Source organism: Homo sapiens, chromosome 18 (assembly GCF_000001405.40).
Source record: "Homo sapiens chromosome 18, GRCh38.p14 Primary Assembly".
Taxonomy (NCBI): domain Eukaryota; kingdom Metazoa; phylum Chordata; class Mammalia; order Primates; family Hominidae; genus Homo; species Homo sapiens.
This window is the reverse complement of record NC_000018.10, coordinates 58379937-58402680: the sequence shown is the minus strand read 5'-3', so window position 1 is coordinate 58402680 and position 22744 is coordinate 58379937. Positions and strand designations below refer to the sequence as shown.

The 22744-nt window shown below is 43.5% G+C and overlaps 1 protein-coding gene across 50 annotated transcripts in view, besides 1 other annotated feature; it reads right to left on the bottom strand.

The window, feature by feature from the left end:
• Window positions 1141–22744, bottom strand: part of NEDD4L (NEDD4 like E3 ubiquitin protein ligase) — a 357315-nt gene continuing 335711 nt past the window's right edge. For 40 of the 50 annotated variants that reach the window (XM_006722426.5, XM_047437406.1, XM_047437407.1 and 37 more), the window contains 7 exons: window positions 19362–19435; window positions 17095–17155; window positions 15183–15242; window positions 13489–13596; window positions 11939–12035; window positions 11122–11194; window positions 1141–6514 (listed from right to left, as the gene is read on the bottom strand). In XM_006722426.5, the coding sequence (XP_006722489.1) occupies window positions 6412–6514; window positions 11122–11194; window positions 11939–12035; window positions 13489–13596; window positions 15183–15242; window positions 17095–17155; window positions 19362–19435 (576 nt within the window). In that variant the 3' untranslated portion in view covers window positions 1141–6411. The remainder of the gene's footprint in view (window positions 6515–11121; window positions 11195–11938; window positions 12036–13488; window positions 13597–15182; window positions 15243–17094; window positions 17156–19361; window positions 19436–22744) is intronic. The other 10 variants (NM_001144967.3, NM_015277.6, NM_001243960.2 and 7 more) reach the window with 1 other exon arrangement.
• Window positions 10023–10522: an enhancer, noted in NCBI's record as "H3K4me1 hESC enhancer chr18:56059391-56059890 (GRCh37/hg19 assembly coordinates)". NCBI's record gives its function as "activates a minimal SCP1, AML or CMV promoter by ChIP-STARR-seq in naive H9 embryonic stem cells {active_cell/tissue: H9 hESC(naive)}" and the evidence as "EXISTENCE:reporter gene assay evidence [ECO:0000049][PMID:30033119]".

The following is a 22744-nucleotide window of genomic DNA, read 5'->3' as shown; positions in this document are numbered from 1 at the left end:
GAGTCTTGGACTTCAGAGCAGGTTAAAAGCGTATTAATCTAGCAACTGTGTCATTGATGTAATTCGTTCCACCATGTGTGGTTTTAAGAAAGAACATATAAATATTCACAGTGACTCTGTCCAATTGTGCCTCTCATGTGTACTCATAACCCTGGAGGAGGCGGCAGGAATTCCAAGTGCTGCGGACAGCTTTCTGGCAAGATGCCATCTACTGTTAATGGAAAAAGACAAGCCGCAAGAAACCAAAGACTAAATGATGTCCTGCTTCCCCGCTAGCTATCTCCTCTGCCCCGAGGGGATGGGTTAAGCACATCAAGAGGAAGCTCAGTACTAAAGAAAAAGGGAAAATTCTCCAGGAGTCTGAGATGATCTGAGCGGAATGAAATGGCATGAGGAAAAATGCCACCGGCTTTGCACAGGGCAGTGACACACGGTCGGGATTCTGACAGCACCTTTCTGAGAAGCAACTTGGGGATTCATTATTGAGTCTTATTAACTCTCACACAAGTTGAGGGCTAGGTATACAAGGATGCCTTTTGAGGAACAGACTAACATGGATTATACAAATGTTACGTAAAATCAGTAATTCTCAAGTTTAATAAAAGAACAAAACAGCAGACGGATAAGAATAAATGTGCATCCTTTTAGTAGGCTTAAGCCATGTGTTTTGGGCAGACTTTTTTTTTTTTTTTGAAACGGAATCTCGCTCTGTCACCCAGGCTGGAGTGCATGCAATGGCACAATCTCAGCTCACTGAAACCTCTGCCTCCCGGGTTCAAGCGATTCTCCTGCCTCAGCCTCCTGAGTAGCTGGCATTACAGGCATGCGCCACCACGTCTGGCTAATATATATATATATTTTTTGTATTTTTAGTAGAGATGGGGTTTCACCATGTTGGTCAGGCTGGTCTTGAATGCCTAACCTCAGTGATCTGCCCACCTCAGCCTCCCAAAGTGCTGGGATTACAGGCGTGAGCCACTGTGCCCTGCCAGACTTTAATGTTTTTAAAAGTGCGGCGCTTTTAGGGAGATGAAGGAAATGAACATACTATAAATCTGCAGGCATTTAAACCCCTCTGACAACAATTAAGATGGTGCATTCACAAAGAAGCTTTAAATCAAACAACCCATAACACTTGATGTAGAAAATGTTCCAGCTTCCATAATTCTTTATTAAATATTTGACAAGTTGCATCGCTTCTTTACAATGACTTCATTTTGTCACATTAGTCTTTTGCTGTCAGGAAAACAATCTACAGTTTCTCTTTAGATCTCTCAAGAAAAAAGAAAAGCGAAAGGATTGTTCTTCAAGAAAACTTCCTGTGTGTATCAAATTCAACCATATTTTAAAGCTATTCTGACTGTGAAAATGAGCATTATTCATAAGTTGCCTTAAAAAAATTCAAGGTAGTTTGGTTTTTACCACTGTATCAAATAGTACTTGGCTTCCTATTAGGAGGTGGGTTTATAATAAAAAGTTATGAAACATTGATAATTTATTTGGAATGCTTGAAACTCTTTTCACCTTAAAAGTCACTGTTTTTTTCATGTTTCATTTGATGATAGATCCTGAATTAGGAAATGACAGCAAATTAACATCATCTTCCTAGGGTTTTCTTAGGCTCCAAGGGTTGAAATTCACAGGACACAGCTTGGAGAAAACTGCAGAAGGGACTAAACTCTCACCTCCTTTCGAAACCAGATTACTCAATAAAGGTGTAAAAATGCTATACAAATATATACAAATATATTTGGACAGCATATGTACGTATATATGTATATATATTACATACAGAGTAGTAAAGGAAGAACAAAGTCACGCAAAGTTAACATGAAGGAAACCGTGACAATCTAGGTGAAATCAGTCTGAGTAAAAGGGGAAAACTGGCTTACACGGGAACACATATCTGCAGACACAGAGTTATGGTCACGAGGAAGGCTTCTGATGATGCACTGGTACGGGGTTGAGAATGCAGTGCACGCGAGGTTAGGCGCCAACAGCAATGCTACTCCTTACACACAGAAAACCAACGAACGGAAAGACGTGCCTTTGAAACATGCGTTGCTTTCAGTGGAACATCTTTAACAAACAACAGATGTTTAATGAGGTTTGCTTGGAAAATTTCATGCCAACAGGAAGCTAACCCTTTTCTAGAAAACGTTCTCCAAGCTCCCGTCCTAATGCTGTGGCACTTTCTCTGACATACTGAGAACACTCTGGGGTGGGGGTGTGTGTATGCAAATGTATAGACACTGTTCATTAAGGCTTATATAAATTAAAAAAGTGGTCCAAAGAATATCACATTTTTCCCCAGTTTTAAAATCTAAAGTACAAAGTGGAGTTTATAAGGATTTGTTTTTTAAAAACACATCTCAGTCCTGAAATTGGCAGTTCTGACACGACTTATCAGGATGTACCCCAATGCCTGAATGACAGAGGTAGTGATCTTCGGGGTCAGGGGAGGTCAGGAAGGGAGCAGGCGGGCAGTTACCCTGCACAGCGGCACCCTCTACTGGCGAGGCAGCAAATGATACCAGACAGCACCTCCCACCTCTCCCTCTTAAGTACAGGGGTGCAGGGCCAGGGTAAGGAGGAGACAGAAGAAGGAGAACTAGCACAGTGTCACGTAGGGGCTGCAGAACTGATTAACCCAGGCTCTCTTTATACGTTTTTAAATTTCAGAGGTGAGTACAAGACTCTCAGAAATACAGGAGTCGACTGTTAATGGGTAACTGTTAGAATAATTAAAAAGTTGCTGTGTATGAACCTGGCTTTCGGGAGGACCAGTGTGGATCTGGCAAGATAGCAGCGGTGCACACTCTCTATGCAACAATGGGAGATGTAGAAAATGGTTCAAATGTTTTGCATGCTGTTTCTCAGAATCTGTCACTGTGAGGCCGGGTGCGGTGGCTCATGCTTGTAATCCCAGCACTTTGGAAGGCTGAGGCGGGAGGATCACCTGAGGTCAGGAGTTCAAGACCAGCCTGGCCAGCATGGTGAAACCATCTCTACTAAAAATACAAAAATTAGCCAGGCGTGGTGGTGGGTGCCTGTAATCCCAACTATTCGGGGAGGCTGAGGCAGAAGAATCGCTTGAAGCCAGGAGGCAGAGGTTGTGGTGAGCTGAGATTGAGCCACTGCACTCCAGCCTGAGCTACAGAGCAAGACTCTGTCTCAGAAATAACAATAATAATCTGTCCCTTTGTCCTTACATGGGAGAAATAATACATGCCAAGTCGCTCTGTATCCCTCATTGTCTGAATTTAGGGAATATCTGATGTCACCTTCTGAAGGGTCCTGGAAACAAAAACCAAGTGTCTTACCTTTGTTCTTGAGATTTGTTAGAGGACTGGCTGCAGAGAAGCATAAACATTTCAGGCAAAAAGGAAAAGAGCACTGAAGCTGGGAATACACCGCAACACAGACAATGAATGCCTCACTGCTGCCGGCTCCAGGGCCAGCAGTGGAGAGGCACAGGCTGTTGGACCTTCATCCCACCAGGTGCTCTTTCCACATCCTTCCTCGGGCCAACAAGGGGCAGGAATGGAAATACCCGGGACCCACAGGCAGCTGTGATAACTGATGTTAAGAGAACCGCAACAGGCAGTGTGTGAGCTCCGGCACGTACTTCTCAGCCTCATGTAAGTGGCCCATAATAACTACAGCTTCAGCAGACAACTAAAGAGACTGCATTAAGGTGATTTCTCTGGCTATAAAGAGAGCCCGGCCTGCAGAGCAGTGTGACTGCTGGGACCTCTGGGATAGGCAACACTGCCCTCTCTCCCCCAGGGCTACTCCCCGGGCAGGTCGGGGCCCAAGGAATGACCCAGCAACTGCTCCTTACCCAGCACACTCTCTTTACTGCCACCTGCAATTATGCTGTGAAGATGACTGGGTGTGGTCATCACGATTCAGAGAAATCAAGATCTATGACCATTTTAGGCAAAGAGAGAAACTTGGAGAATTGCTGAGGACTACTGAACCTTGTTTTGCTTTTTTAAAAAATACTAAATCCTCACTTCAGCATATTTAGTTGTCATTAAAATTAAGCTGATATTATTAAGGGGTTGATGAACTGAGGTGTCACTCACAATTACTGCCTTCCAAGTATTCATGGGGTAGATTTCAGTAATTCTTGTTTGCTTCTGGCTTAGAAATTGTCAGAATGATTTTTCTTTTATACTTTCCAATACTTGACTTAATATGCATTTAGTGACATTCTGTTTTTTTCAATATACGGTTTACAAGATGACAGAAGAATCCCAGTTCTTAGGTTAGAATTGGATTTCTCCCTCTACAATTACACAATTACTCTCAAAAACCAAGAAAGCATACTGCTCGACTCAGGCTCTGGCATGATTCTTAAAAAGAAAACTGCCTCTAGACTATGGGGGCTTACAAAAAGGGGATTTTTGCCACTGAGACATTTGTCATGTTAACTGTAGCGGAAAACATCTCACCAATAGTCAAAACTCATGAGCGGGAATTTTTTTTTTTTTTTTTTTTTTTTTTTTTTTTTTTTTAGTTACATAGCATCTAAGTTTTCTGATCACTACCAGGTAATTTTCAACCAATAAGAAAAAGGAACCAACACTCAGCTCTGTAGAAATCTACCTTCTTTTAGAAACCTCAGGCCTCTGCACCCCTTTAGACAACTCATTTACAACCACAACCTTCCATGGCTTCTCACATGCCAGCCAGGGCAGGGTAAAAACGGCAATTTCTTACACCGAAAGGTCCTTTTTATGTAACAAACAGACCTCCCCAAACCACAACTTTTTTGTCCTATTGATGACTCGCATGAGATCAAATCTCTAGTGTCCCCTGACTGCCCCGACAGGGTCTAGGACAACACAGGTTAAAAAGGACAGCAGGGTCGTTCAACTCCCACACTGCCTCAGGTGTTTTCTCAAAGCACGACAATTCTGCAATGGAGACTTACACGTGGAAAAGAATCAAACTGTGCAGGTACCCTCAGTCCTCTGCCACTACCAGCTCAATAGCTTGAGCTCAGAGGATCAAGTCAAGTCTCTGTCTCACTTTTAATCTAGCACACAAGAGGCACAACTCAGGCAGTACACGGTATTGAAGCATGCAACAGGTCATTGGTAACAAAACTCAGTTAGATTAAGAGTACATTAAATAAATCTTTGTAGTTGAGTAGAAATCACAAAACAGTTGGTGAGGACAGGTCTGTAGGCTCAGCTTTACATCCAGGTTTTTATACACCAGCAGCCAGATTCACAATTGATAGATATTGCACCGGAAAGATGTGTGCAGGGAAAAGAAATCATCATCACATTTAATGTTCATGATAAAAAAATAAAAACAAAACCAGATATGACCTCCATGTAGTACATAAAGTGCCTTCAGAATTGGTGCATTTACAACAAAAACTGGTTATTTAGCTACCATTAGCAAACGCATACAAACAGGAGACTAAACAGATCTGGTTTCCACAGTTTTGAATCAAGCAGTGCCAAGTTTCATTCAAAATGTCTCTACTACAAACAGCAAAGAGGAAATAGAATAAAAGATGACTGTACAGCGCCAGGAAGGGTTAAGTAATTTCTCGGATGAGAAATGGGAGTCCAACCCTGTCTCAAATGTGTTAGAACACATGTAATTACTTCTAAGGAATAATGGTGTGATTCCTTTCAAGTCAACACAAAATTTGTCATGCTATGTTACAATTCTCTCAGCCTGTAGCTATTAGCTAAATTTGTACAAAAAAACCCCAAAACAAAAACGTAATATCCAGTTTTTCATTCTGAGTATGGAAAAAATTATCATTATGTCTAATATTATATTGGAAATTCTCTCAAAGTACTTGTCTGTAGGTTTTTGGACAAAAATTTGCCTTCCAATTCTAATAAAGTAGAGGGTGGAGGTGTCAGAGTACTTCAAAAATAAAAATGTCATTGACATTAAGCCTGGTATGAAAGTGAAATACAAAAAAAAAAAAAATGCTCACTTTTCCAAGTACATGAGACATCTTTAATCATAACGAAATAAAATCTGAAAATCGGTCTAAATCATTTTAAAAAGTAAACATGAGTCGTAATACTATACCTGTTGAGTGATTAATTCCATTCATTGTCATTAGAAAGGATGTAAAATATTTATTAAGGGCTTTGCCTGCAGAGGCACAACATAAATAGCATTAAGTCCTCCTGAAATGTAATTAGTGTACACATCAACCAGTTGATAATTTGTGGTGGGAAAGGCAGGAACTCAAGCTGGGACCAGGTTCCCGCATCCGAACTTGGACGAGTGCGTGGTGAAGGCTCGGCTCCAGGGACCATGCCTGCAGCTGCTCTCTGCCATCGCCTCTGCAAAAGTCTGTTAGGCAAATGCAAAAGTGCAAGCAGAACTTGCTTGAAGAACAACCACCCCCGAGGCACAGGGTGCTTAATCCACCCCTTCAAATCCTTGAGCATTTTCCACGGCCATGAGAAGTTTCTCTCGTAAATCTTCAAAGGTTTCATATGGAGGTAAGTCAAGGCGATTAAAGCTGCAAAAGGAACAAAAAGTGTAGGTGAAAAGCCACAACAGCACTTCCTCGATCTGGTTAATAGGGCATGAGGTTTGAGTAAGAGAATAAAAAAGCCTTAACCAACAATTTTGATTACCTGGAGAAAAAAACCCCAAAAACCTCTAGCTATGAAACATCCACACTAAATAAGCTCTTGTAATTTACAGAGAAAGAACATTTTCAAATGGTCCATGAAACCTTTGCTATAGTCAGATGCAGATCTCGGAGGAATCCTGGTGGGAAGGGAGTAACCGGCAAGATTTCCAAACCCTTGGAACACAGAGCTGATGCTTTTGGAGTTACCCACGAATTAAGACTGTGTCTATCTCTAATACTATTACTTATTCCACACTAGGCCTCAAGCCAAGTGCTTTTCTCCCTATTAACTCACTTCATTTTCATCACAACCCTATGAAGCAGGTCATGTTATCTCCATTCTGCACAGGAGCTCCTGGAGCAGAGACATAGGGCAAGGTTCCTGAGGTCACAGTCTTTGTCAAACGGCAGACCCACAAACAGAACCCAGGCTGTCCGGGGCTCGGGAACACCAGTGCTAAGCTACCTCCTCTGATCAAAGTCAGGCAAAATTGACATTTGCTATGTAAAGTTGCATTTAGAAAAAGTCCCTACATATCTGGAGGCTTCAGGTGGGGGCGGGGGCTGCAAATCGCCCTGGCAATAGTGAGGGTTTTCAGACAAATGGATGGCCTCTGTGCTTCTGTGACATGGGGAAACTGCACATATGAGTGCCAAGTGGATCGGATCAGTGGGCCCGGCATACAGCAAGGGCTCAATTACTCAAGAGATGGTATCAGTGTTAACACCTTTCAACATTTACTGTATGTCTACATGGGGCTCAAGACCAGAGCCTTTAGCCACAGAACCTGCACCTCTGTGTGTGTGTGTATGTGTTGGGGGGTGATTGCTGATGTGTATCTGTCATGAAAATGGCATGCACACTTGCCACAGCTCATTATGACGTAAGAGCTCATGTTCATGGAGTGCTCACCATGCCCCATCAGCCTTGTCTCAATGTTATGAACCCTGGCAATCACTTTGTAAGGCAGCTAATGCTTCACCCCTATTTCACAGAGGAGGAGCTTGAGACACAGCAAGGTTAGGTAACTTGCCCAAGGTCACACGGGGCCAGGTACAGCCCTGGGGTGCTCCAAAGCCCAGCTCTTGAAGTGCACTTGTGCTGCCTCTGCCGCGAGTGCTCAAACTGTGTTTAAAACCGCCCCCTCCAGGTATTGATGTGTGATTCCAAGAATGAGCAAAGTAACTTCTTGGGTTTTAAAAGCTAACCATTCACGTGCTCGCTTTGGCAGCACTTGCACATATACTAAAAGCTAACCGTTGTCACAGCAACAGAAAAGAAACACATACCGTAGAGGGCCGTTTAACAACCACTAAATATTGAATAAGTCCCACTGAGTTCCACTTGGATTCTCTAACAGCCACTAAACACTAAAAGACAGAGAATAACACTGTGCTTCTCAAACTGGGGTTCTCAGGAACCCAGGAATCCTAAAAGAGCAAGTACTAATACAGGCTTTTAACTTTCTATTATCATATTAATAAAGACAGGACTTCACATCTACAGATGGCATTTAAAAGAGCCTTTCACCGAAAGTGGCTTCAGGCTTTTCAGCTGGGGTTTCACAGTCCCGGGCCTGCAATCCCTATGGGGGTCTCAGGCCCATTCTTGAGAATCTGTGACCATTTTTTCCCTTTAAAAAAGGTGCACAGATTATTCAGGTTTGAGAAACACTGGCATGATGAAGAGAGAGGCAAAGACGGGATGTCAAGATCTGAGGTTCTGAATCATGCTGCTTAATGCTTCACCGCTTTGCATCCCAGTGTTATCTGTAAAAAAGTGGGTCATAACATCACCCACCTCTTAGGGCCACTGTGATGATGGTATGAGTCAATCGCATCAAGTGCTGAGCACCATCCCCGGAATGAACAGAGTGCTTGGTGAGTGTGAGTTCCTATCATTTCAGAGGTCAGGACACACGGACCTGGCTTTGCTCTGCACTAATGAGCTGGGTGACTTTAAGGAGCTCATTGTCCTCACAGGGCTTCAGCGTCCTCACGTGGAAGATGCATGGGCTGAACGAGATGATTTTTGTTTGCTTTAGAGTCTACCTAAAAGGGCAGGTGGGCCTGTGATTCTTAATGAAGAGTAATTTTAAATGTCTGAGTAGTGACCTTTTATAGAACAATGAAATGAAGTCCTTTGAATGTCAGACACTCAATAATCACCATTGGAAAGCTTAATGAAAGGTACCCTCATCACAGAGAACCAGATCCTTCAGCTTCTGCTCTTCTAGGAAATCAGATTTTTATTCTGAACTTTAATTGTGTATCATAAAACGTGGAAGAAATTAAACCTATGTATGGCAAAATTTTATGGCAGAACTGTTGCCACGAAACAGCCAGTGAAGTTTCTGTTTCCTATGTCAAAATACAGTCAGGGTCAGGTAGGGAGGAAAGCCATTTAGAAGAAACAGCAGAACAGTCCCACTCATGCTAGCCAGTGTTGCTTGCAACTGCCAGTCCTCTCCATCCGGGTCAAGTTAGTCTGGGGAGAACATCATTAGGAAAACTACACAGTTGCTTTATTTCCGTGACACATAAAGAGGAAAATAAGTTCTGGTAAGAGCCAGCTGGGTTGTTCCCTTCCTGTAGGTGGATCTTTGCCCTTCCTAGGGAAGAGCTGTGAATTTTCAACCCTGCCAGCCTATAAAAATCATCTGGGGAGCTTTGAAAATCCCACTGCCTGGGTCACACACCAGACCAATGAAGTCCAAATTCCAGGCATCAGTGATTTCTTTAAGGCTCTCTAGATGGTTCCAACATGCAGCTGAGGTTGAGAACCACTGAGTTCAGAGGTCTTATCTGGGAAGTTCTACTTGTGGCAGAATCATGTGGGCTCCGAAATAAAAAAGACAGTTCAATAGTAAGATATGTGTCCCTGAAGTCACAGAGAAACATGGGCTGAATGAACATGAAATTGGTTCACTAATTTGGTTTCCTTGGAAAAGTCTAAAAAGAAAGTGGGTATATCAACAGAGGCAGTGTATCTGGTGTAGTGGTAAAGGGTGCAGGCTCTAATTCTGGTAGCTCTGAGTTCAAATCCTGTGATCTGGGAATCTGTGACTCTGGTGAGCCCTGGGCCAGCCTTCTGACAGCCCAAGGGAATAACATATCTCATAAGGCTGCCATAAAGATTAAGCAGTGCCTGACCACAGATGATGACTGTGCCCAATAATTTCGCTTTTCCTAATCTTCATCCTGGTTAGTATTATGAGCTTGAGTTTCGCATCACCACCCACAGTCCTGGGGCTTGGCTCAACGCTGGTGCCTTCATATGGAGGCCAGTAGAACCCAGAAAACCACATATGACTTGGACACCATTTGGATAAAAGCTCTGAACTACTCAAACATTCTTCCCTTAGAATAAAGCCAGAGAACCACGGACAATGACTGCTCTGAATATTCATGAATTTTAGGCTGGAGTCAGCTTGCTTTCAAGGCTCTGACAGGCAATGACCACATTGTTTCCATCTGGAGAGTCACGTGAATGGTACGAATAGAAAAAAAAAACACCTTTCTGGTGAGGCAAGGGAATCCGACAGAAGTGAAAAACCTTTCACAGCCAATTTTTCGCAAACACATGTTCATGAGAATTCTCTCCTGGCCAGCACTTCTAGTGTAAGGGAGGGCGTTTCCTGCAGGGAGTGTTTGGTTGCTTATGTTAGCTCACTATGGCCAGAGCAGGCTTTGCAGCCCCCGCTGCATGAGAAACACAGGGCTACGCTGCTCACCGTTTTCCAGAAGGCCCACTTCTGCTGCTTCCTCAGGAGCAAGAAATAAAGGCCTTTGCAGAAAAACCAACACGAGGGACATGGGAGTTTGAGTTAGCAAGAGCTCCCTGAACCCGGCTTCAAGAAACTGATCCCATCCAGTCTGCATTTGTGCTGGGTTTCATGCAACTGTTCAGAAAACAACTGGGACCCTTCTGCGTCACTGTGCCTCCTGAGAGGGCCTTCTGAGGGCAGCCACGCTCCACGCTTGGGCATCCCTGGCCACGTGTCAGCCCTCTTACCCTCCTCCGACCACAGTCATGTTACTGCTCAATTCCAGGGAATTACAGGTTATTCATGGGCATAGAAGGCCTTTGAAAAAGGATGTTTCTACAGGGTATTTTGTCCTAACTTCTCAACCAATTTAAGGTTGGAGTAAAAACCCAACGTGTTTATTATACAGGTTGAGAGCTGCCTTATCTATGTATGCTGAACAGTGAAAGCTCCACTACCTAGAATAATGAGGGAAGGACTGGGCTCAGAGGAGAAATTCCCCACAGCAGGGAGGCCTGAGCCCTTTATGTGCCAAACATACTGAGTGCATTATGTCTTATTAGCACTACTGTACAATTTCTATTTTCATCCACATCACTGTCCTTTAATTCTCTAAGCTACTTACAGACAGGAAACAGAGCATTCAATAGCCTTGAGCCCAGCACCATACCCAGCTAAGCAGTTCAGATATTGCATTGACATGCATGTGTTTTTGTCACTCACCATGTGTGAGCTCTGGGCAGTTTCTCAGGACTGCCCCATTGCTCTATTGTAAACAGCTGAGGACCATTGGAACCTAGACAAGAAAAGAAAAAGAAATGTTAAGATTGCTTGGGGCAGAAGAATGAAGCTATGGTGTGGTCTGCAGTCCAGCTACTGTCAGGGCAGGGTTTGCCCCCAGGGGTGAGGCCCAAGACACTCTCTTCTGCTGCAACATTGATATTTAATGTTGAGGGAAGCCAGAGGTCTGCACAACCTCACAGAAAGACTCTGCTTAGTCTCCAGAATGGAACTGCACCAAGATTAACAAACACAACAGTTACGTGGAAAGGCAGGCAGCTACAGCCTCTCAGCTGGGCCCTGGAAATTTAAACTTCAAACTAGTTTTGTGGGTGGGAGGGTGAATGAAATGTGACTTTCAGTATGCAAAGTACAGAGTGATTTTTAAATCTATGGTAAACACTGAAAAATTCTGCCTACTGGAGGTGACTTTATACCTCAGTTTACGACCATATAAATGACCCTACAAAACCTAGTTTTTAACGATTTACTAAAAAACTAAACTAGGAAAAAAAAAAAAGAGCAGCCTTATGGACCTCTTCACAAACTGCCCCCCAATCCCTCGAAGTAGAAGCACCATGTTATCTATATAAAGTATAGATAACAGTACTTTCATTGAACTTTCATGGAACCTATGCATGGCACACTGTCCTGAAACTTAGCCTTCTGCAGAGGCCTGGCGGCAGGGTTCTTGGGCCAGAGTTCATGCCTGGCTGGAAATTCCCAGGAGGACAACTGAATCCAATGGTATCCTGCTCACCATAAAGTTCGGCAAATCCATTCATAGGTACTCGCGATGTCCCTGTGACAAACTGCAGTAACCGGATACGCTTTTCGGCGTCCATGAGTAGCACAGCCTATGAACAGAGGCAGAAGGTCATTATACCCCCCACGTGACCCATGGCACATGCTGCTGTCATGCAGGCAGGCAGAACTTAATCTTATTTATATTGCAATGTAAGACCTAGACAGTTGACTCTGAAAACTGAGTAGGTTTTTTATGGCCACAATACTAGCTGGCCTCTCTAATCTAAGAGACTGAGTGATCACAATGTCCGTCTCTTTCTTCTTCTGCCAATAGGCCAAAATAAATGATATAAAAAGCAAACTCTCTGATGGCACCAAGCTCATGTTTCTGTGTTCGAGGCTTACCAGTTCCCCCTAAGCCAATTATAAATATACAGTATTTAAGATTTGTCATCACAAGGGGAAGCCAGGTTATGAGATGGGATTTCAGATTGTAGACACGTTCCCTAGAAGACATCATTTTATAAAATGAAACAAAACAAAACAAAACAAAAACAAAACAACAAAGGCAAAGATGGGGTTCTAAAATAATCTGTGTATCTTACATATCTGCATTATTATGGGAATCCAGGTGGCTTTACTGGTAATGCCACTTGGACTGCTGTAGGCAAACATCTAAAACAAGCCAAGTGAGACCTGGACTAGGCTTTGAAGATTTTGCTTTTTTATCTCTGTATTCCTGCTGGCATTTGAAATAGTAATAAAAGGCATTTAGAAATGTGAAAAAGGCCGGGCATGGTGGCTCATGCCTGTAATCCCAGCACTTTGAGGGGCCGAGGTAGGAGGATTGCTTAAGCCCAAGAATTTGAATCCAGCCTGGGCAACACAGTGAGACCCCATCTTTAAAATAAATAAATAAATAAATAAAAATAAATTTGAAAAAGTTAAATGATTCCTTTTTGGGGTGAAGTAAATAATCAGCCTTTTTGGGGGATAACTGTTTTTTTTTTTTTAAGTTTGTTTACTATATCTCCTTTGGACTAACCCATTCCTATTTTACTTCCCTCCTAAGCTGAACAGGATACAAACAGTGGCCCTAAGATAATAAATCAAATGTTGTGTTATCTTTGGTTGAAAGATACACAGATCAAAATATTTGTTGGAATATATTTTAAAAATTGAGAAAACGACTTCTTAACAGAAAGTGGCATCTTGCAAAGCCATCCCTGAAGCCTGTTTCTGCCCTGAGAAGCCCCCCATTTCTATTTACGCATTGGAGGACCAGTCCCTCAAATAAAAGTCACTTTCACGAGGTGGTCAAGGAAGGCCAGTGTGCTTTTGTAGGGACCAACTTCATTCAAGTCTAGCTGTCTGCTACAGTTACAGAGGAGCCACCACGGGGCTGCTGGCTCAGTTTGCCTCTTCCCTCCCCCAGCAGTCCAAGCTCTAACAGACCCCAAAGCCAGCATCAGTCCTGAAGTCAGACCACAATGGAGGGCGCCACACAGCCCTCAATCCTGCCTCAGGTGGAGGACACCGGCTGGGGCTGGGCCCCGGAGTTACCTTCCAGAACCACTGAATGACGGGGTGGTTTGGGCAGTAGCCGTTCTTGTAAATAGAATGCTGTCTCCAGTCATTCACATCCACATCACCGAGGCCGCACATGAGCAACTAGGAAGAAAATTTACCAGATGTAAAAGCAGGATGTGAAAGGTGCGAGATCACACACTGAGAAATGACCACCCTCAGTGCCAGCATGTGGTCACTGTGCCGCGAAGGTAAGCTAGCAAATCATAACAACAGAGGAAGGCAGACACCTGTTCCAGGCTCCACCTGCCATAGCAGATCACAGAGGCAGCAGTCACGAGGGCAGCTCAATTCGAACCTTGCGCAAGCCACGGCATGTCGTATCGGATATAAAAATGCCACAGTCGTCCTCCCTACCCCTCTAGTCTTACGCATGGGACCTGTGGATTCTCTCACGCTCCAGCAGCATCTGTGCATTACCCTGGCTGCTTCTCCTCCTGAGAGGTTATTCCTCTGAATATCTAAAAGCATCTCCCTACCCACAAAAGAATTAGTGCTTATGACTCTCCTCCAGGTTGATCAATTCCAGTGATGACAAATCACCTCATCTGCCCAGAGGCCTAAGAATGGCAGACATACGCTAAGGCACAACTGGGTCTTCGACTTAGCATTTAGTCTAAGGTTTGCCGTTCCTATTATGCAACTCTCCATCAGGGGAGGTTTCCTGTGGACAAATGGAAGATATTTATGCAAAGGTACCAGAATGAAATGGAAACAGAACTAAGCCAGAAGCCTGGAAATAAAGTTCCTAGGCCTGACCGTGCCAAAACCTTGCTGGGTAAACCCAGCTGCTCTCTGCCTCAGTTTCCCACCTATCAGAGGAAAGGCTTGAGGTATATGATTTCTATAGACATCATCGATCTTGAACTTTCTGTTTTGAGATAAAAGTATAGAAGGCCAGTGTATGGGAAACACTCACTGGCTATGGACGGGGCAAATGGCCGAGTCCCACCAACGGCTTCTCAACAGACAGTCTTTCCCCTGTTTCTCTCGACACAACAAAGGGCGAGATATTCCTTTGTTTTTAAAATGGCTGTTACTCAACTATGTCAACACCAAGAAGCTGAACTAGACAATCACTAAACTACCTTTTGCTACAACCCTGTTGCCTTCTGACATTTTTCCTCACTCAACATAAACCACTTCAAGTTCAATGAGACGTCGTTCTACAGGCCCAAGTAGATGCTTACGGCCACCTTGTGGCCAAGACCCCCATTTGGCTGCCACGGTGGGGGTGGATGGGGATGCAGCAGAGGATACTTGGCCAGTCTGGTAGTGTAAGCAGGTTTCTGCTGTCCAGAGGGCTACTGCAAACCTTGTTTCTACTTGTTGTGGCAATTTGCCTCGCCTGGTGCATAGGGCCATGATCCCAGCTCTGCTCAGTGGCCTCTACTTACTAGGCATGTTCCAGAACTGCCCTCTGATGGACAAGGCAACTACAGCTGATTATTTTTGCTGTTCCTTACTCCTACATTGGCAAACAAGCCCCATAAGAGACATGTAATAGAACCACATTGGCAAATAAGCCCTATAAGAGACATGTAATATAATTCATCTAAAGTTACTCTCTAGGACATTATGGATCCAAGAATATTAAAATATTACTTGTAAAGTAATGAGAGATACTTTAAAAAATCCACTTTACATAAAATAATGTTTATAATACAAACCTCCAGCTCATTTTCATCAAAAATTTTAATCAAATCAATAGGAAGTAGTTCTGTGAATCCCTGAAAGAAAAAAAAAAAACATCTTAAACACCTATTGCCTTCAAAAAAAAAAAATTTCACAGGAAAAACAAACTTTTCTGGTTAGCCAGAAAAAAATATAATCTCTCCTGATGATTCCTATGTCAGTGACAGTATCAAGTAACTATAGTTCCAGTAAAAACAGCACAGTCACAATATAACAGTTTCGAAAAAGCATAGAATCTAGAAGATTCAAGTAGTGGAGTAATTTCTGAAACCTGATGAAAATATGGGATACTGTAGGCAGGGTGGATTCCAAAAGCCATTTATAACACTGCTGTGAGTCAGTGCGTCCTAAGATGCACAGGCTACAGATGTGTAAGAGACACGCTTAAAAATAACGTGCTGGAGGCAGGGAGAAGAAACACAGAGGGAGGCAGGTGATGGGTGCAGACACTGTGCGTACAGAAAACCATGCTCCAGTTCCCAGGTACCACTAACTGTGGCGTGATCTAGGATGAGCTCAGCTCTGCTGGGCCCTGCGCGCTGCGAACGCCGCGTTTCTGAAGGTGTGGACCGCCTGCGGTGGGGCCCAGGAATCTGCTTCCTGGGATTTCTTATCTAAATAAAGAGTGAAACCTGCCATTCTGTCCTCCCATTTTAAGTCCCTAAGGCCCCGAGCTGTTTCTGAGTGTGCTGCCCGGGCTTTCACGCATCCTGTGTAGGTACCTGAGTGAAGGGAAAGCATCACCCCACGAGAGCTCTGCCTCAGTGCAGAGAAAATCAGTCACGTGGACACGAGGCTGTTTCCTGTGTGATCTTTGAGGTAACTAATACTATATCATATTTAAGAAAGAATTTTGCTTTTGGTCCAAGTGGAATACTGTTTAAAATGATGAATCCCTCACCCACTGCTAGGGGCCTGGGAGCATCCCTGATATTAAAAGTTCGATCTGGGCAGTGCCCACTTTGCTCTGTAACAGGGTAAAAGCTGTCATGAGGTGGCTGGGTATAAAATAAATAAAAACTCAGCTTAAGAAAATGTGTTTTCCATGTATCTGTATAGAAGAGAACCTGCAATGAATTATGCCACAAAGAAAAAGGGCAGGGGATTAAAAAAAAATGTCCATGGCTGGGCGCGGCGGCTCATGCCTGTAATCCCAGCACTTTGGGAGGCCGGGGCGGGTGGATCATGAGGTCAGGAGATCAAGACCATCCTGGCCAACATGGTGAAACCCCGTCTCTACTAAAAATACAAAAATTAGCTGGGTGTGGTGGCGCGTGCCTGTAGTCCCAGCTACTTGGGAGGCTGAGGCAGGAGAATTGCTTGAACCCGGGAGGCAGAGGCTGCAGTGAGCCGAGATCGCACCACTGTACTCCAGCCTGGGTGACAGTGAGAATCTCTCTCAAAATCAATCAATCAATCAATCAATCAATCAATCAAGCCCAGGCAGCAGTGATCCAGGGAGGGAGGGGTGGCCAGGCACTTTGGGGACTGCGCTTCATCATTCAGCTCTGAGCCCTCGGGCTTCTTGGAACCTGTCACTGCAGCAAAAGGCAGCCTTCTCTTGGGTACCGCCTGAAACTCCAAGACAATGGTTCTAGATCAAGTCTGTAAAACGTCCTCTTTAAAAACAGGACAAATGTAAAAATAAGAGAAGTCAAGCAGGAGAACCCGTGAAAAGGAAAAGGAGGTGGCGGCACGGTGGCTGAACACTCTTGTGCTGGAGACTGGCCAGCGGTGTGAGCTGTGCGATCCCGGTCTTCCTGCAGGGTCCCCAGCCTCGCCTCTGTCTCTGATCAGCTCCACCACACTAGCTAAAGGAGAAGCGCGATCCCCCATCGACCCGGGACCAGAGGCACATGGCAGAGAACCCTGGCCAGCATGGCTTACCTCCAAGAAGGCGTTCATCTGCTTCTGGACCCTGTTCACAAATCTCCACTGGATGACTAAGCTGCAGGAGAAAAGAGGACAATATTGAACCACCTCCATCATCACTAGTGCTCACTGCTTTCTCCGCAACAGGGAGTGCTTCTCCTCCATCCACGACAGCAGAGCAGAGGGGAGGGTCTCCTCTGTGCCCCCACTGTTTAGTTTATTCATGGCTTCTTTCAAGACTCCCTGGAACACCCGTGAAAAACCTAAAATCTCACTGGAGATTTCAAAAGAGTAATTAACTTCCCCCACATCAAGGTTTGGCTGACCTAAACTGCTTTAAATGCTTAACTGCTTTAAAATGCTTTAAATGCTTTAACTGCTTTAAAATGTGACAACATGGAGAAAAGGGAAAAGTTCATGGGGTATGAACACACAGGTATACATGTATAAGATGCACACACCCGTATACACACCCACATATATGTATACATATTTGTAAAGTGTACTCAGGACAATGCATTTAGTTATCTAATATTTCATTCTAGTATCCAATGTGCTAATATTCAACAATAACATATAAGCTTTATCAGCAAAATGATTTGCACTCATAATTTAATGCCAAAATTTAGAGGATGAATGGTAAGACCTCCTTATGCAACTGAAGTTCACCAAAACCAAGTTCCCTGCGACAGTGTTTAATGCACAGCAAAACTGATCGCAAGGCAAATGTACTCTGGATGTCATCTCAGGCATTCCATCATTCTGAAGGGTTCTCACCTTCGGGGTGGTACACTGTAACCATGGTAATGGCCCTGAGGACCAGCCTGCAGCACAACCACTGTGCGGCCTCTCAGGTGGCACCTCCTGGGCTACAATGAACAGCTCAACAGCATTCTTCTGGCACCAGGGGAGCAGAGGTATCAGGGAGCAGTTGGTGATTTCAATTATACTTTTAAAAGTAAAGCTAGCTGGAACCCTGCCTGGCCCTGACTCCCACCACGTTTGAACCCTAAAAGAATTAACTGCAAAGAATGATGCAAGACACATACCACGCATGTCAGAGTCCTCAGACTTGAGACCTGGGTCACCCTGAGCTAGAATATTTTTTAAACCCCACTCACAGTCTGTACTTTCTGAAGGAAGACAATGGTGTCTGCCAGGATGTCATCAGCTAAGATTGTTCATATTCAGAACGAGAGTGCCAATTAATGTGGCCAGGTAAGAACCGAGGTACCTTATTTCTAGTCTATGTATTCAGCATAACAAGCTTTCAACTTGAGAGTGAAAAGAGTCCGCCATGTAATAGTTCCACTCCTTGCCAGGATCTCTGAGTAGAGACTCTAACACGCTCCGTTTCTTCCTAATTAGGAAGGACAGTAGGTTTTTCTTTGCAGATCACACTGAAAGGTGCTAAGACCCACAGTCAATGCAAGAGCTGTCTGATTTCAAGACCTCTGACCAATTCCAAATGAGAAGAAAGGAGGGAGCCTAGCCTGTTGAAACGAAGCACTGAATGCAAACGAGGAACTCAGGGCCACTGTGGCGACCCACAAGAGAGCAGAAACCAGGTGCCAGGAACCACACACTGCAGTGCTCACCTCACCCCTGCACCAGGGGATCTCCTTGGAAGATCCCAGAGTTATGCATTTGAAGCACACATATACACTAAAAAAGAAAACGTAACGTGCCCAACAGAGAAAAACTTCTGCCTGGTACAAATGTCTTAGAATCACTTAACAGCTAGACTTCCAAAAAGACTCAACATTTTGTTCCACTGAGGCTGAAGTTGAGTTAAGAATATTACAAATACCAGAAAGAATTCCTTAGGGTTGCACATGCTGAATTCTTCCTATCCATTTTAACTATTTCTATACATTTCTATTATGGAAAAGAAGTTGGGAGAGAGACAAAATATTTTTTCTTTGTTGGTTCCTAATTTTGCCCTGCTGGTCACTGACACCGTGGTTCTCCGTTGCAATTCTAAATCTTAGTTGATATCCACATATTCCAAAAGAGTATTTGCCGTATTACTCAATAATATAGACCTTTTCTCCCTCCTCTGCTCCTTTATAGGGCAGCTCAATGGAGTCATGATACAAGACAGACTTTCCATCCCATATTCAACTTCCCATTAGCCCAAGCCAGAAAAGAACTTACCTTGTTGAAAACTGACCAATAAACTCATGCCCATAATAAATGCATGAGCTGTTTCAGCAAGGGACAGTGACCAAACATGCATTTCAATTATTCAAAGAAAAGGCAGTAAATATGTGTATACATACTCGATATATTCCCTTTTGTTTTCATTTGTGACCATTATTTCTGACCCATTGGGCTTCAAATCCACTTGATATGTCTGTAATTACAAAGACAAAACAACAATTACTATCACGAAGTTATCTTGCATATTATTATTGAGTGACAATGTCTTACTATAAAGGGAAGACAACATGTATTCAGAAATATTTCCCGGCAAATGGGCTCTGTGCACAAGAGAATGTCCAATGAGGCTTTTTTGCTAGGATGTTACACAGTTAAAGATGCTATCATTAAAGGCAAATTGTTTTATGGTTATTTATGACTTTTAATTATTCTTCATATATTAGCAATAATGAAGAGCAACATTTTTTCCTCTGCTATTCATTTATCAGGAAACTAATTATGTTTAACAGAGAAAAGAACAGGGTACACCCATCAAGACTCCAGAAATCCAAATTCTAATGCATTCTGTTTCTGAAAATTATATTTTCTAGTCATAAAAAAAGGATGCATGGTATTTCTTTCAAAAATGCAAACAGAAACTTAAAGACAAGAAAGAAGCTTAAGGATCCAGGCTGAAGAGACAGATTTATCTGGTTTTTGAAGGCATTTATTTGCATTGGACGCCTTCTCCTCACTCATCTGCCCTGAAGCTTCCTCCCTTAGCACCACCCATGATCATGAAAAAAGCAGCTGCAATCAGGGCAGCCCTTTCTCCTATGCCCTGACCCAGACCTAGCTTACCATAAGGCCACATAGCACAGTAACCAGCGTGAGGGAAGGGAGAGAGGCCTACTATTTTAAAATAAAATGTTTTTTTCTCATTGTAGAAATTTTGGGGAAAAAAGGTGGAAAAATATAGCACCTACACCTCTCCTACTGAAAGAAAGCCATGCCACTATTTTGGTGGGGTTCCCTCTAAATCTTTTTTCCTCTGCCTGCTGGTTGCATTATAGAGTAAACCAAGCCAGGGGAGAGGGTTTTCCAAAGTAAGTGTTAGGGTGGTACCCAGGAGGGATGGAGGTTCCATGTTGTGATGAACTCTATGCCCTGGCAGAGGCCACCTCCAGGGGTTCCTTGGTCCTGCCACCTGCACCCAGGAGATCCTGAGCCCCTCTGACCCGAGCACTCACACCTGGGTCTCTCATGCGGCTTCTCCACGCACTGGCTCTTGTTCCCATTCACACTGAGATGGCTTTTCAACGTAAAACACATTCATCATCCATCCGGTCCCTCGACATTCTCTTTTTCTCTTTATTCAGGAAGGAATCTCATTTTTCCACTATGCTTTCCATTTCTGCAAAGTCAACTGAACTCTTCACTGTGCCCAATGTGAATTTTAATCCCTTTGCTGCGTTTCCGGTTTTGCTGACATCCTTCATTTCTCCATTTCCCTTTCTAGCTGCCATCTTCCCAGTGCATCCCATTTTCTCCCAGGGGTCATCTGCTCCTGCCCCGTACAGGCCGTGTTGGGGATGGAGGATGCCAAACAGCTTCCACTTGGGGGTGGGGTGGGGATGTTTCTACAGTGAAACTCTGCCAGTTCGTGGCTGGTTCTCAGAGGTGCGTGGACAGTGCTCATCCATACCTTTTGTTCTATGTGTTAATAAACCCAGGTTGGCTTTTCTTCTTTTCCCCATTTATTCCTCCCCAGACTGCCTTGTTGTTCCTTCGGTAAGAGTTTTCTTATCAGATCCACGTCAATGACAAGTTAATAAATCCCAGCCCAGGCATTGGTATCGAGAAGGCTTTCGGTACAGCTCGGCTACACTCAAGCCGAATCTTTCCTCCCACCCTTTCCCCTCGCACAGGGAAGGGGAAGGAGGTCAAGTAGATAAGCATCCACAATCCCTGTAATACACTCCTTCCAGCATTCATCCAGCCCTCTCTCTTTGATCACAGAGCCTTCTTTGGTGTTGCCTGAAAGTTGTAATTTCCAGAGAGCTACTGAATGAGCGGGTCGGCCACAGACAAAGTGGGGAGGGGAGGGCTAAGGAGGAAAACACTCTGCTTCCTCCAAAAGCAGCGCCCAGGGATGAGAGAGAAAATAAGCCAGTGTTGCTGAGTGCAGAGAACTGGTTCTCCCCTTCACTGTGGGTGGGAGTCTAATTGGTTCAATCTTTTTCTGAAGATATTATAATTTGGCAATAGGCATCACAATTTTAAAATTATATATCCCTTCTCACAGTAATTTCTCTTTTGGAGTTTATAGCAATGGAAAAAAATTAGTCAAGTACACAAAATGTATATTCCAGATTATACATTTGTATGCTATATATATTATGTATATATGTGAGTATTCCAGGGTTATACAGAATTATATGTTTATATAGAAAATACTAAAATAGCCTAAACGTCTACCAACAGGGCATGGTTAAAAATATATGGCACGTCTACAAAGTAAAATTCAGCACAGTCATTAGAATGTTATAGACTGATATTCAGTGACATGAAAAGGTATGTGTGATATATTAATTTGAAAACTGTTTTCTGTTTCTGTGTTAGTTTGCTGAAAATGATGGTTTCCAGCTTCACTCATAAGTGGGAGTTAAACGATGAGAACTCATGGACACAGGGAGGGGAACATCACACACCGGGGCCTGTCATGGGGTGGAGGGCTAGGGGAGGGATAGCATTAAGAAAAATACCTAATGTAGATGATGGGTTGATGGGTGCAGCAAACCACGATGGCATGTGTATACCTATGTAACAAACCTGCACATTCTGCACATGTATCCCAGAACTTAAAGTATAATAAAAAAAATTTGGGAGGCCGAGGTGGGCAGATCACGAGGTCAGGAGTTCGAGACCAGCCTGGCCAACATGGTAAAACCCATCTCTACTAAAAATACAAAAATTAGCTGGGAGTGGTGGCTCACGCCTGTAATCCCAGCTACTCAGGAGGCTTGGGCAGGAGAATCGCTTGAACCCAGGGGGCTGAGGTTGCACTGAGCCGAGATCATGCCATTGCACTCCAGCCTGGGCAACAGAGCGAGACTCCATCTCAAAATAAATAAATAAATAAATAAATAAATAAATAAATAAAATAAAAAAGAAAACAGTATGCAGAGTACAATTCCACTTCTGTAAAAAAAAAAATCTGTTTTGTGCTTACAGAGAATAATTCTGGAAAATGTAAATAAAAATTTTAATCCTGAGTTTTCTTGAGATACTGGGAATAAGTGACATTTATTTATTTTACATATTTTTATTATACTGGCTTTATTTTTATTATGGAGGTTAATATTTTATAATTAGATAAATAAATAATTTTTGAAAGAAAAGAAAAAATGGGCCCACACTAACCCATGCTAAATGAGGTCACAGCAGTAAATCATCCTGTGGGCAGCCGTCAAGTCTCATGGTTGATTCTGACCCTGGGTTTCTCTGTGGGGGAGTGAGGAGA